The sequence below is a fragment of the Homo sapiens genome, chromosome 16 (assembly GCF_000001405.40).
Source record: "Homo sapiens chromosome 16, GRCh38.p14 Primary Assembly".
In the NCBI taxonomy this organism is placed as follows: domain Eukaryota; kingdom Metazoa; phylum Chordata; class Mammalia; order Primates; family Hominidae; genus Homo; species Homo sapiens.
Window position 1 is genome coordinate 86,837,573 of NC_000016.10, and position 13,786 is coordinate 86,851,358.

Sequence of the window (13,786 nt, forward strand, 5' to 3'; positions counted from 1 at the left end):
CTCTTTGCTCTTGTCAATGAAAACCTACTCCGTTGACAACAGGGTAGAGAATAATGGCAACAGAGAATATGACTGGGGGATTAGCACCTTCAGAGGCTGCAGGGCAGGACTTGACATGAATAAGCCAACTCCTCTTATGGATTGAATTCTGTCCCCCCAAAAAAGCATTGAAGTCCTAACCCCCGATACCTGTGAATGTGGCCCTATGTGGAAATAAGGCCTTATGTAGATGATCAGCTTGAGACAGTGTCACAGGGTGGTGGGCCTCCTAGGTATGACTGGGTCCTTATAGAAGGGGGAATCTGGATGCAGAGATGGACATGCACAGAGGGGAGGCGATGTGAAGACTGGGAGGAGACGGTGCTCTAGGAACCACGGAACCCCTGAGGCTACCAGGAACTGGAGCGAGGCCTGCAGCAAAGTGTCCCTCGAGCCCCAGAAGGAACCAGCCCTGCCGACACCTCCATCTCAGACTCGTGGCCTCCAGAACATGGGAGAATAAATTTCTGTGGTTCTAAGCCACCTGGTTTATGGCCCTTTGTTGTGACCGCCCCAGCAAACTCTTATACCCGCACTGTGTGAGGTGGGTGTCTCATTATCCCCATGTCATGAACACAGTGCTAGAGAGAAATGCTACAGAAACCAGAGGTTCAAACAGCAGGTGAATAACACCGTCAAGATTTGAACTCAACTCTCTGTGACCATAAAGCTCCAATTCATCACCACATCACTCCAAGGTCCTTGTGAGTTGTGTCTCAGGAGGGGACATCTGCTTCAACCCCCTCAATGTATGAAGGAAGTCAAGGATACCAAAGAGGTCAAAGATCACACTCAACATCACCCAGCCCATCAGCAGTCAAGTTGACGTTGGGGACACAGCTCACTGCCGGGGCTCCATCCCCTCTCCTAGCTGGCCCTCATCATGTTGGCCAGGGAGCCACTCTCAGCCAGGCAAGGAAAGAGCACTTTTCGGTCTGGAGTTATAGGTGGTGCCCCAGGGGTGCTCGCTCCATCAGAAGGGCAGGGGGCAGAGCAGGGGTGGTTCTGAGTGGAAGTGCAGGCCATGGCCCCCACCATACCAGGTTTCTTTCTCTGGGGCATGCATGCCGGGGAGGGACACAGTGAACTGGGGGACAGAACACCTAGAAGAGTGAGGACACTTATTTCCAGAGCATTAGTTTGCTCCATGGTGAGTTGTTGCAAATATTTTTACACTGAAACAATCATCATAACTGATCTCAGAATTATACTTAGCTGCTGATAATAGAGACCTAAAATACAAGTGGCTCACATGAATTGGGAGTTCCTTCTTTATGTGAAGGAATGGTGACCCCTTGGTGTCATCAATACCCGAGCTTATTTTCCTTTCTGCTCCACCATCCAAAACATGTCGCTTCACTTAGAGATTGCCTCATTAGCACAAAATGGCTGCTGAAGTGCTTGTCATCACATCCGGGCAGGAGGAAGGAGGAAGGGGTGAGAGGAATCTTCCAGGCGAATTAGTTCTTCTTAAAGAGCCTTCCTGGAAACCCCTACATATTGACTTCGGCATGTTGGTCATGTCTATATGCAAAGGAGTTTGGGAAGTGTTTTTAGATAGGCATCCAATTATTAAGTGATTCTTTGTTGTTCAGTGATTAACCGTCAAAGCACCCAATAATTAAGAGATTCTGTAAATGAGGGAGAAAAATGGACATTGAGTAGGCAAATAACGTGTCTACGACAGCAATAGATTATCAGCATAAAAAATGGTGTGCATTTCCAAGATAAACCCTATGACTTGGGAATGAATTTAGGTTTATGATAGTCTGCTTTCGTCTGGGAACTCCTGGTAACCATATGCTTTCCCCTATATGCACTATTAGCACAGTGTGAAACACTGAGAAACCCTACATAGGCAAGCTAAATAACCTGACCAAGGTTATCCACTTAAGCAGTGGCTGAGCTGGGATTTGAACCTGCATTTCCTCAGACCAAGGAGACAGTTCCCACATTTAAGAAAATGATCATGTTTTATACTGCGGTATCCATATAGGAAGGGGCCATTGCAAGAGCTCAAATAACTTTGATTAGAAAATAAGACTGACCGGGCACAGTGGCTCATGCCTCTAATCCCAGCACTTTGGGAGGCTGAGGCAGGCGGGTCACTTGAGGTCAGGAGTTCGAGACCAGCCTGGCCAACATGGTGATACCCTGTCTCTACTAAAAATAAAAAATTAGCCGGGCATGGTTGTGGGTGCCTGTAATCCCACCTGCTCGGGAGGCTGAGGCAGGAGAATCTCTTGAACCTGGGAGGTGGAGGCTGCAGTGAGCTGAGATCGTGCTACTGCACTCCAGTCTGGGTGACAGAGTGAGACCCCGTCTCAAAATAAATAAATAAATAAAATAGAAAATAAGACTAAGACTGCACTTGGGGGTTCCGATTGAGACAACCAGGTAGGAAGGGAGGGTACAGAGGAAGGAAGACCCCGTGTGGGATGACCACCAGGCACCTGCAGCTTTGGTGATTCCCGAGAGAGACGAGGCAGAGACGGGTGAGAAACATAGAGACATTTACCAAAATGAAATTTTAAAAGAGAGGAAGTTTACTTAAACCTCTTAGAGTTATCCCTCCACAAATAAGTAACCCTTCCAAGCCACAGCATCCTGATAAATTTCCCTTGGAGCTGCCTCAGGAAAAGGTCAGAGCTGATGGTGGGGCTGAGCATGCACGCAAACCCCATCCCTGCTGCTCTGGTCCTCCCAGCTGGACTGGGCACAAGGCGGTCCCCTCGGTGGGTCTCAGGAATGTAGGCAAAGGAATGATTTTGTCCAACCTGAGGGCCTTCTTTATATCCATGACTTAATTTTTGTTCTATTTAATTACAATAGCAATGGTGTTTCTTATGAAGAACAATCCAACCAAGATCTCAGAATGCCAAGTGCAATAGTCCTACCAGTCCACATCCGCAGAGGGCCCATTTTGGATCCAAGTGCAGGGACAGGGATGCATTCCATGGCATTTACATGCAGATCTCATCTCAACGGACCTGGGCCTCCTCCAGGGTGGGGCCCCTCCCTTGTTCTTCCCATGAGCCCCAACCTCTGTGATTGGCCTCTGGCTGATTAGTCAAGAACAGGAGCACTGAGGGTGGTGTATTAGTCAGAGTTTTCTAGAGGGGTACAACTAATAGAATATATGTATATATGAAAGGGAGTTTATTAAGGAGAATTGACTCTTATGATCACAGGGTAAAGGCCCACGAAAGCCTGTCTACAAACTGAGGAGCTGAGAAGCCAGTGGTGAATCACTCTTAGTCCCAAAACCTCCAAAGTAGGGAAGCCGACCGTGCAGCCTTCGGTCTGTGACCAAAGGCCCGAGAGCCCCTGGCAAATCACTGGTGTAAGCACAAGAGTCCAAAAGCTGGATAACTTGGAGTCTGATGTTCGAGGGCAGTAAGCATCCAGCACGGGAGAAAGATGGAGGCCACAAGACTCAGCAAGTCTGCTTTATTCTAGCTGCACTGGCAATGGATTAGATAGTCCCCACCCACACTGAGGGTGGGTCTGCTTCACCCAGTCCACTGACTCAAATGTTAATCTCCTTTGACAACACCTTTACAGACACGCCCAGGGACAATACTTTGCATCCTTCAATCCAATCTGGTTGACACTTAATATTAACCATCAGAGGTGGCTCTGGGTGTGTGTCCTGAGCTGTGCAAGTGGTGCCTGTCACTCCTGGCCATTCTGCACCTCTGTTTCAGGGAGGGTGGTGCTCTAACTCTCCTCCTCCCACCAGTCTTTCTCTTATTTATTGAGCAAATGCTAAGTGGCAGGCTCTGGCCCGAGCACTGGGAGCACACATCCTATTCAGCCTTTTCCACCAACCGCCAGGTGGGTGCCATTATTACCCCAGTTTAGAAACAAGACTCGTTAGCTTCAGGACAGCTGTGTGTCTTGCCCAAGGTCAAACTCCAGCAAGGACAGAAATCTGAGATGCTGCTTTGGGCCTGCCTGGCCCTAGAGCCCCAGCTGTGAAGCCTGCGGTCCACTTTGGGTGCCAGCCGTTTGAGGGGAATGGGAGTAGCTTCCAGGGGGTGGCTGAGCCCATCTTGTGTCCTTAGAATAAATTAGCAGGAAGTAGCTGCACTAGAAAACCAATGTTTCTGTAAGCAGGAGACCAAAGAGGGCCCCCTCTCCATCCTCTTTCTTTCCCTGGGGTGTTCTTCTTTGCTCCATTGGGCGATCGTATCGTGAGCTGCAAGGGTCAGGAAGCCACACTCTGAAGCCATCTAACGGCCGCGTCCGGGCCTCCAGGCCTCCCTCCCTGCCTCCATTCTCCTCCCTGGGCACCTGTGTGGCCCCCAAGTCTCCTCTCCACTCTCCCCACTTGAAGCTGAGCTGCGGGCCCCTCCCAGGTCTCTCAGGATGGACCTCGCCAAGCCCCTCCAAGCGTCCTGAAGGCTCCACTGCCTCTCTTGCCGAGGGCCTTGGCGAGCACATCATGCCTGGCTTTGCTGAGCAGAGATGGATTGAACCTTTAGTCTCGGGCAGGTGCTCTGTTCCCAGAACCTCAAAGTTACCCCAACCTGTCTATGCTGGACTCTTGGCCAAGGGCCCACAAGGAAGCCCTCAAGGAAGTCTTGATGTTGTAGTTGGGGGGATAAGAGCTGACCCCAAAATCTAGAGAAAGGCCCACAGGGCCAGAAGCAGGGTGAGGGGTGGCACCCAGGAGGCCTTTGGGGTGGAGCCCTACAGGACAGAAGAGTTCGGCCCTGTGCACATGCTTAGAAGGGATGGGAGGAAAATTCTGGAGGTGTGAGGATGCTTGAAGGAAGGCAGGGGTGAGGTGTGAGGACCCTGAGAGAAGACAGGGGTGAGGCGTGAGGACCCCTGAGAGAAGGCAGGGGTGAGGCGTGAGGACCCCTGAGAGAAGGCAGGGGTGAGGCGTGAGGACCCCTGAGAGAAGGCAGGGGTGAGTGTGAGGACCCCTGAGAGAAGGCAGGGGTGAGGTGTGGGGACCATTGAGAGAAGGCAGGAACTGTCCAGGGGTTAGCGAGAAAGAACCCCAGAGAGAGACACCCTGCTGGCCAGTGTGATGAGACTAAAGCTGGAGGCAGAATGTTTGATGGAAGAGTTGGTCTGAGGCTCAGGCACGCATGGTGGCTGAGTAGAGGTGTGTCCTCACCACACTGAGGGTTAGAAGAGGAAAACCCGGCAGGTGCCTTTCATACACCCACACCCTCTTTTTGGGAACAGTGACAGACACAACGCGTAAGATGAGAATTTCTCGTGTGTGACAGTCATCCCCCCACCACCCGATAAAGAGGATTCCATTCACCACCAAAGAAGGACCCTGACTTCCCACACCGACATTTTGGGCTTCTATATGTCACACAAGGTGAAGAGAGGTGGGCCTTGTTTCTGTGTCAGGAAAGGCAGAGATGGGGCAGGGTCGGGGGATGAATAGCGCAAATAGGAAAGTGTGAAAATGCAGCGCTCTGTGTGGCCCAGGCGTGCCCTTCGCGTTGGTTGAGAGATGTGAGTGAGCAACTTGGCTTTTTTTTTTTTTTTTTTTTTAAGATGTCCTCTGGTTGCTGCATTTGGCTTCTTTGAAGACTGCATCGCCCTGAGACTGGACCCCAGGGGTAAGGACTTCCCGGACAGTACATAGGTGGATCACCACATACAGCAGGGTCACAGCAAATCCAACAAGAACCATGTGGTCAGTGGTACTCTTGAAAATCATGTAACTCACCCTCGAATGGCAGGACTCCAGCTCTAAAAAGCTCAGACATCTAAAAAGTTACCTTTTTTGGCCGGGCGCGGTGGCTCACGTCTGTAATCCCAGCACTTTGGGAGACTGAGGCAGGTGGATCATCTGAGGTCAGGAGTTTGAGACCAGCCTGGACAACATGGTGAAACCATCTCTACTAAAAATACAAAAATCAGCCGGGTGTGGTGGCACACACCTGTAATCCCAGCTACTCAGGAGGCTGAGACAGGAGAATCGCTTGAACCTGGGAGGTGGAGATTGCAGTGAGGTGAGAACGCATCACTGCACTCCAGCCTGGGCGACAGAGCGAGACTCCCTCTCAAAAAAAACAAAAACAAAAAACCTTTTTAGTTTCTGAATGTTAGCCATAGGGTCCCTTTTCCTGGGGCTGTTTTCTTAAAACAGGAGGGAAGGCAAAGGAATTTAGAACATAATTTCTTTTTAAGCACATACAATAATCAAATTCTGATAAGTGAAATGTGCACGTGCCTGTGTGTTCGTGTGTGCTCGTGTGTGTACATGTGTGTGCTCATGTGTGTTCGTGTGTGCTCATGTGTACATTGCATGTGTGCATGCGTGTTTGTGTGTGCTCGTGTGTGTGCCTGTGTGTGCACGTGTGTGCTCGTGTGTTCGTGTGTGCGTTGCATGTGCTCATGTGTGTTCGTGTGTGTGTTCATGTGTGCTTTATGTGTGTGTGCATGTGTACCCAGGTGTGCATGTGTGCCTGTGTATGCATGTGTGTGCTCATGTGAGTTTGTACTTTGCATGTGCTCATGTGTGTGCATGTGTGCCTGTGTGTGCTCTGATTCCACTGATATATTTCATGGAGAAGAGCGGTTCCTGCCTCTGTGTCTTATTCATTGAAGCTATGCCTGCTCTCCCTGACCCAGGCTCTCCTTCCAGAGCCAAAGTCATCCTTCCTCTCACCTACTCAACCTAATAGATGCCTTTTTAAGAAACAGACCTTCCATGCATTTTCCACTCCGGGGCTTGGCGACTTTTTTTCTTTTTTAGATGGAGTCTCGCTCTGTCGCCCAGGCCGGAGTGCAGTGGCGCGATCTTGGCTCACTGAAACCTTTGCCCCTCCAGGTTTAAGCAATTCTCTGCCTCAGCCTCCGGAGTAGCTGGGATTACAGGCGCATGCCACCAGTACCGGCTAATTTTTTTTGTATTTTTAGTAGAGATGAGGTTTCACCATCTTGGCCAGGCTGGTCTTGAACTCCTGACCTCGTGATCCACCTGCCTCGGCCTCCCAAAGTGCTGGGATTACAGGCTTGAGCCACCGCGCCCGGCTGGTGACTTCTATAGTCCTTTCGTCTCTCTAAAGTGGGTAAGAGGGAAAGGTCAACACAAAACCAGCCATGGCACAGGCCTCGAGGAGAAGGCTGACCGTCCATGGACAGCAGGCCCATGGCTGCTCTAGCTCCGCTCTGCTGCTGGGAGTGAGTGGCCGGGTGGCAGGCGCCCTCCAGGGCATGGATGAAACCTCACAAATGGCGCTTTGTCGTCCCGCCGAGAGATCTGGGACATCCCGTGAGTTGGAATATATAACGCCCACTGGATTAAGAGCCGTCAGACTGGTTCCCAAAGCAAACACTGAGCTAATTTTTCCAGCATATGCCTTTCATGTCTGGGCTGCTTCAGGCTTTGCTGGGTCACTGGGCTCTTTGTTGCTGCCTCCGCCGAAGTCCCTGGCCCCTCCGCCTCGCTGGCTCCTGGAGTCACCCAAATCCTAATACAGTGTTCTGTTTCACTTGAGGAGCTGAAAGAGCCCCCGAAGAGTTCCTCCAAGATTGGCCTTTGAAATCCACAAGTTAGTGAGAAGGAACCCCCGGAAGTTTTGGATCACATTTCTCCAAGCCCACAGCACATGCTGGCCTGTAGAAGTCAGGTCCTCACTTCAGGATGTGTCCTAGATCCTGTCACACGTGACCCCTCCTGAGGACTGTCTGGTGGTGCTACCCAGCCCTCTGACCAGGGGCCCCCACTGCGTCAAGTTGGTACCCAAACTCCTCCTGTGGCACATAAGACCCCGCCTGGTCTAGCCTCACACTCACCCCTGTGGCACATAAGACCCTGCCTGGTCTAGCCTCACACTCACCCCTGTGGTGAGGAAGGCCCTGCCTGGTCTAGCCTCACACTCACCCCTGTGGTGAGTAAGGCCCTGCCTGGTCTAGCCTCACACTCACCCCTGTGGTGAGGAAGGCCCTGCCTGGTCTGGGCTCACACTCACCCCTGTGGTAAGGCCCTGCCTGGTCTAGCCTCACACTAACCCCTGTGGTGAGTACAACCCTGCCTGGTCTAGCCTCATACTGACCCCTGTGGCACATAAGACCCTGCCTGGTCTAGCCTCACACTCACCCCTGTGGCACATAAGACCCTGCCTGGTCTAGCCTCACACTCACCCCTGTGGTGAGTAAGACCCTGCCTGGTCTAGCCTCGCACTCACCCCTGTGGCACATAAGACCCTGCCTGGTCTAGCCTCACACTCATCCCTGTGGTAAGGCCCTGCCTGGTCTAGCCTCACACTCACCCCTGCGGTGAGTAAGGCCCTGCCTGGTCTAGCCTCACACTCACCCCTGCGGTGAGTAAGGCCCTGCCTGGTCTAGCCTCACACTCACCCCTGCGGTGAGTAAGGCCCTGCCTGGTCTAGCCTCACACTCACCCCTGCGGTGAGTAAGGCCCTGCCTGGTCTAGCCTCACACTCACCCCTGCGGTGAGTAAGGCCCTGCCTGGTCTAGCCTCACACTCACCCCTGCGGTGAGTAAGGCCCTGCCTGGTCTAGCCTCACACTCACCCCTGCGGTGAGTAAGGCCCTGCCTGGTCTAGCCTCACACTCACCCCTGTGGTGAGTAAGGCCCTGCCTGGTCTAGCCTCACACTCACCCCTGTGGTGAGTAAGGCCCTGCATGGTCTAGCCTCACACTGGCTCCCGTAGCTCTGAATTTATTTTTGTTCCCTCGCTGTTTCTGTGCTTCCTATTCCTAAGACATAAGTGGAAACCTACTTGCTGTTTGTATTGGTATGAGTCCAAACAGGAAAAGGAGAAAACATTCTGAATACTGAAAACAGAGAGAATTTAATGCAGGGAATTGGCTACATATTTGATGGCTTTGCTAAGAAACGGACCGAGGGACAGGGAGAAACCCACAGGTGAGCGGGAGCGAAGGCCTCCTCCGTCACACCAGCCAGAGCTGGGGCAGAGGGAGGAGGCAGTGAAGGGTCACCCTGCGGATGTGCTTATCAGGGCCCTGGTTGCTGGGGCACTGGTGCTGCAGGGGAGACAGTGCCTGTGGCCGAGGAGGAGGAGGAGAGAAAACACCCTGGCTCCTCCCTTCCTCCTACCTCTGCTTGTCCCCAGGGTCCCTTATTGGCTGAACCAGCTGGAAGCCAGCAGACATGGGGGGACTGGAGTGCAGCCCTGAGCCACCCTGCAAGACACAGCAGAGTGGGAGGAGGCAGAGTGCACCTGCCAGTGGACCAGTGGATGGACACACAGCTGCATGCCAGCCCTGGAGTCAGGCTGCCCACTCAGATGGGAATCCATCCTTCTGCATCTCTTCTCTTCTCATCATCATTTGCATGTATTTCTCAAACTCCATTGATTGAAAGTGACAGAAACGTACCTAAGAAAAGGAATGAATTGATTGGTTTGTGGAACTGAAAACTCCTGTTGTTGGATTCAGGTAGGGCTGGATCTAGGGACTCAGACAAGTCAGCAGGGTTCCATTTGGGCCACTTCAGCCCTCAGTTTTGCTTTCCTCTGTTGGGGTTCCATGATCAGGGTGGGCCAGGTAGCAGCCCCAGGCCTGAGTCTCATTCTCCCAGCAACCTCAGTGAAAGAGGCAGCCCCTGCTTCCCATTTGCTCCAACCGAAGCCCTGGAACTGAGTCTTCTTGGCCCACGTGGACCAGTTGCTGATATGGGAACTGGCGACTGTGATCTGAGTGGTGAAAGGCTCCGATTGGCCAGGGCTGGATGCCGGACACGGGGGATAATCCCACTGAAAGTGTGGGCTAAGGGAGGAATGGAGGAGGCAACACCGATAGAGAAAGTAATGGACCTCGAGGGGACAAAAGAATCTTTGCTTTTTCTTGGCACTGGTACCCAACCAAAAGAACCGGGCAACTTGGCTGTATTTATTCCGCTGGCTACATCATCTGCCTTTCCGAGTCTTCCAAGGAAGACAGAATTTAACCCTGAAGGGTCTACGCATCCTACTGGAACTTCATCCTGCTTCTCTCTAGGAGCCCTGGAGGTCTCCTGGCTGGACGCTGTGGAGCTGAGAATGGGGCTCCTTCTGGGGGATGTTGCCTGCGCTTTGCTTCGTGGTGTTCTGGGCTTGTCTGAGGATGTGCCGGGAAGGGAATTTTGCCAAGCTGGTAAGAGCACGTGATGGGAGGCTCGACATATAAAGGAAGCCCCCGAGGCCTGCCCTATCCACAAGGTCTGGGTCATCATGGTGTCCCAAGCCTCTCCCATCAGTTTCCCATGTGTTTATCCCAGTTACCTGGAGGAATACGCAGGAACCAAGTCTTCCTTGCCTCCTAGCACAGAAGACTGAGGGCCAGTGAGGTTGAGGGAGATGCCTGGGGCCGCTCTCCAAAGAATCCCAATGGCAGCCACCACTGTGTATGGAGTGCTGAATCAACACCTGGCTTTCGTCCTAAGAACAGTGTGAAGCCATCAATGGGTGTGAGGCACGGGGTAGCTGTGTGGGCATAGGATCTGCACACAAGGGAGGGGAAGCTCAGGGATGAAGCCCCAGCATCTTCTCACCAGAGTGCAGCTGGGAGTCCAGGATTCCATGTCCAGTCCTGCCTGCCTCTGAATCTGGAGTTCCAGCAAAATTAGGCAGAAGATCTGAAGACCACCGTGGGATCTCTAGTGGAACTCTAGGCCGTTCCGCTTTAGCAAGTTATCTCTTGGCACATTAGTTTGTGAATGGAGGCAGCTCGTGAGAAAGAGGCCGCAGACCCCACGGGCTTCTCACTCCTCCCCGAGGAGCCAGGGCCTGGTCTTAATTTCCAAAATGTTTCTGAATAGACTGATTTCTGTTCAAGGGCCTGTGACCTGGGGATCTATCCTGGCTGGAAGCTGTGGAGCCGAGGACGGGGCTCACGCTGAGGGACGTTGCCTGCACTTTGCTACCTGGTGTTTAGGGCTTGTCCAAGGACACGGCAGGAAGGGAATTTTGCCAAGCTGGCAAGAGCATGTAAAGGGAGGCCTGGCACATAAAGGAAGCCTGGGGGGTCTGCAGCTTCCCTCTCCCAGCACTGCTTCCATTCATGCGTTGATGCACCAGGAGACACCTTCCTAAAATGGAACAATCTACAGTGGTCTTCAGATTTTCTGCCCAATTTCACTTTATAGGCAGCAATGAGAAGAGACTCATCTAAGATGACCCAGTGAATGAACGGCTGGAACAGGACCAGAGACCAGAGAACAGGACCACAGACCAGCTCTCCTGGCAAGCAGTCTGCTCCCCAACTCTTCCCATTCATTCCTAGGAGAAGGGCACTGGGATTCCAACAGGAATCCTAGCACCAAAAGCTCCTAGCAAGGAGTTAAGAGTCGTGCTTTTTATAGAAACAGCCTCAATGGGCTGTGCTTCCCTGCCTGGGAGGGGCAACGATCGGGTCCCCATGCGGCTGCACCAAGGCTGATGGCTTGCTATGCGTCACTGAACCTCCATCTCTCCATCAGGGCAAATGAATCATAACTGATGCTCCGAAGGCAGTTTACATCTAAACATGCATGCTCCTGATGAGCTCTCATCTCCTTCCTCATCCTCCATCACTCCTGCCTCATGCTTCATGCTCCAGTGACCCCAGCCTGCCCAGAGTTCGTGGAATGCTCTGTGATGTTTCAGGATGCTGTCGCTGTGTGGCTGTCCCAGCAGCCTGAAATTGAGCCATCCCAGCCTGCCTTTTCCTGAGCCGTCCTTTGAAACAGGCTCAGATTTTCCCTTCTCCTGGAACCTTTCACACCCTGCCTCACCTTCAGCTGAATCATTTCTCTCTGCTTTGTGGTCCTAGGGCACCTGCCATTTTTCACCTGGAGCTCCTACCTGGATGCCTTGCACACCTGTCATCCCAGTGGGCTGTGAACTGCTTGAGGACTGGGCAGGTCCCTTTTTCTCCCACCTCCACTGCCTCTTGCAGGTACTGGGAAGACAGTAGGCATTCAATAAATATCAATGAAAGCCTGCAGTGGGCACTCAAAAAATACTGATATAAAAACTAAACTTGGCTGCCTGCACTGTGTCAGGCACAGTGGGACAGGAATTCTCTGCTCCAGCTGCACCTTAGCATCCCCTGGGGGAGGGTGGCTTTTAGAAATGTAGCTGGCACCTCACCCAGATGAAAACATCAACAGAACTTTTTAAAAACTCTCAAGGCAAACATAATCAGCCAGAGATGAGTCTGCTGGGCTGGGGGATAGAAAATGGTAAAGGCCTGTTTCCCCTGACTTTGAGACGTTGACATGACCAAACTGATATTTTTTTTCCAAGAAAGAAGAGTCATTCTTAAAGGAGGTGCTGGGAAGAGCAGCAAAGCCTCCCCTGACACCCTGTTGGAGACGCAGGTTCTGGAGCCCCACCCTAGACCTGCTGAATCAGAGACACTAACAAGGGTCTAGCCATCTGGGGGTGAACGTGCTCTGCAGGGGGCCTCAGGGTGCTGGAGTTTGAGAACCGCTGCTCTAAGACCTTGTCTCTCAGAGTGTGACCCACTCACCGCCACACCAGAAACACACAGGATGTTGTTAAAATGCAGATTCCCAAACCCCTTTCCAGATGGACTGGCGTGGAACCTTGGAGTTGCGGGGGGGGAGGTAGCATTTTATAGAAAGCTCCCCAGAGATTGTTAACCTTATGGAGACTGGATAACTAGTGCTCTAATCTAATGACAATGCTGATAAATACTATGTGCCCAACCCCTCCCCTCTCAAAGCCAGGACTTGGGTGATTAGGGCCTGGCTGCTCATCACACACTCATTCTTGGGGGTCTCCTGGGCCTTCCGTCTTTTGGGCCTCTTGGAATGCAGTTATGGTTGCCCATGACCCTGTTTCAAAGACTCTTTGGTCTGGTCAATGTCCACCCTCCACTGACACTCAGGAGCAGAGGAGCCCTGGAGCTCCCCCAACCCTCATTCTCCTTGCCAGTGTCTCCCCTGCGCCATCCCGCCTCAGAAAGGGACCTTGGAAAGTCATCTTCCTCCTGGGACGCCCGGCCCATCATCACCAACAGACAGCATAGACAACAGAGTTGCCACTTGAGACTCTGCGTCAACTTCTAGCTCTACCTCTGGGGCCAGAGAACTGCCAAGTCTTCTAACCAACATACATTTGGTGATCAGAAAACACCCTGTGGTGAGAGGGGGTGGGGATCAGCAGCACAGAGGGACCTCAACTTGTGCACATTTAAGCAAACACATGAGCTTTCCAGCTGCTGAGCCGGCAGTGTGATCACGCCCCATTCCACTTTTCTTCCATCAGCAAAACAATGCCAGGCCTGAAGGGAAATGGAGAGCTGTCCTGCCCAGGACGACAGCAGCCCCTGCTCAGTTTCCTGTTGTTCTCGCGATGGCGACCGCAGCCAAGTGGCCCCTTCGGATGCTCTGGGGGAAGCTTGCTTTGGGCTCCGCCAACTGCCTGAAAAGCACTCGCTCCGTATGGCACCTGCAGAGCCTTGTCATCGGAGAATTTTCTTTGGCCTCAGCCTTAGTGGGTGGGTCAGCATCTGCCTGTGGGGAAGAAGAATTTATTTTCTAAATTCTAGATTTACGAAAGAAAACATTTTGCCTTCAAAGCCACTGGTGAGCCCTATTGGGTACAGGGTGTGTTGAATTTCATCCACGTCTTACCATCTCAGGACCAAAAGAGAGGACCAAAGTTGTAAAAATAACCACATCACAGGCTGGAAAAGCCCATAAGAGAGAAACAAGGTCAGTGGTTTTTGAACTCGGTTCCAAGAAACCTAAAGGTGCCTCAAAAAGCGCATGGGGAGAGGGGACTGTGGGGTCT

The 13,786-nt window shown here is 52.2% G+C and overlaps 1 annotated feature.

Annotated features, from left to right (window-relative positions):
• Positions 12,790 to 13,290: an enhancer, noted in NCBI's record as "H3K4me1 hESC enhancer chr16:86883968-86884468 (GRCh37/hg19 assembly coordinates)". NCBI's record gives its function as "activates a minimal SCP1, AML or CMV promoter by ChIP-STARR-seq in naive H9 embryonic stem cells {active_cell/tissue: H9 hESC(naive)}" and the evidence as "EXISTENCE:reporter gene assay evidence [ECO:0000049][PMID:30033119]".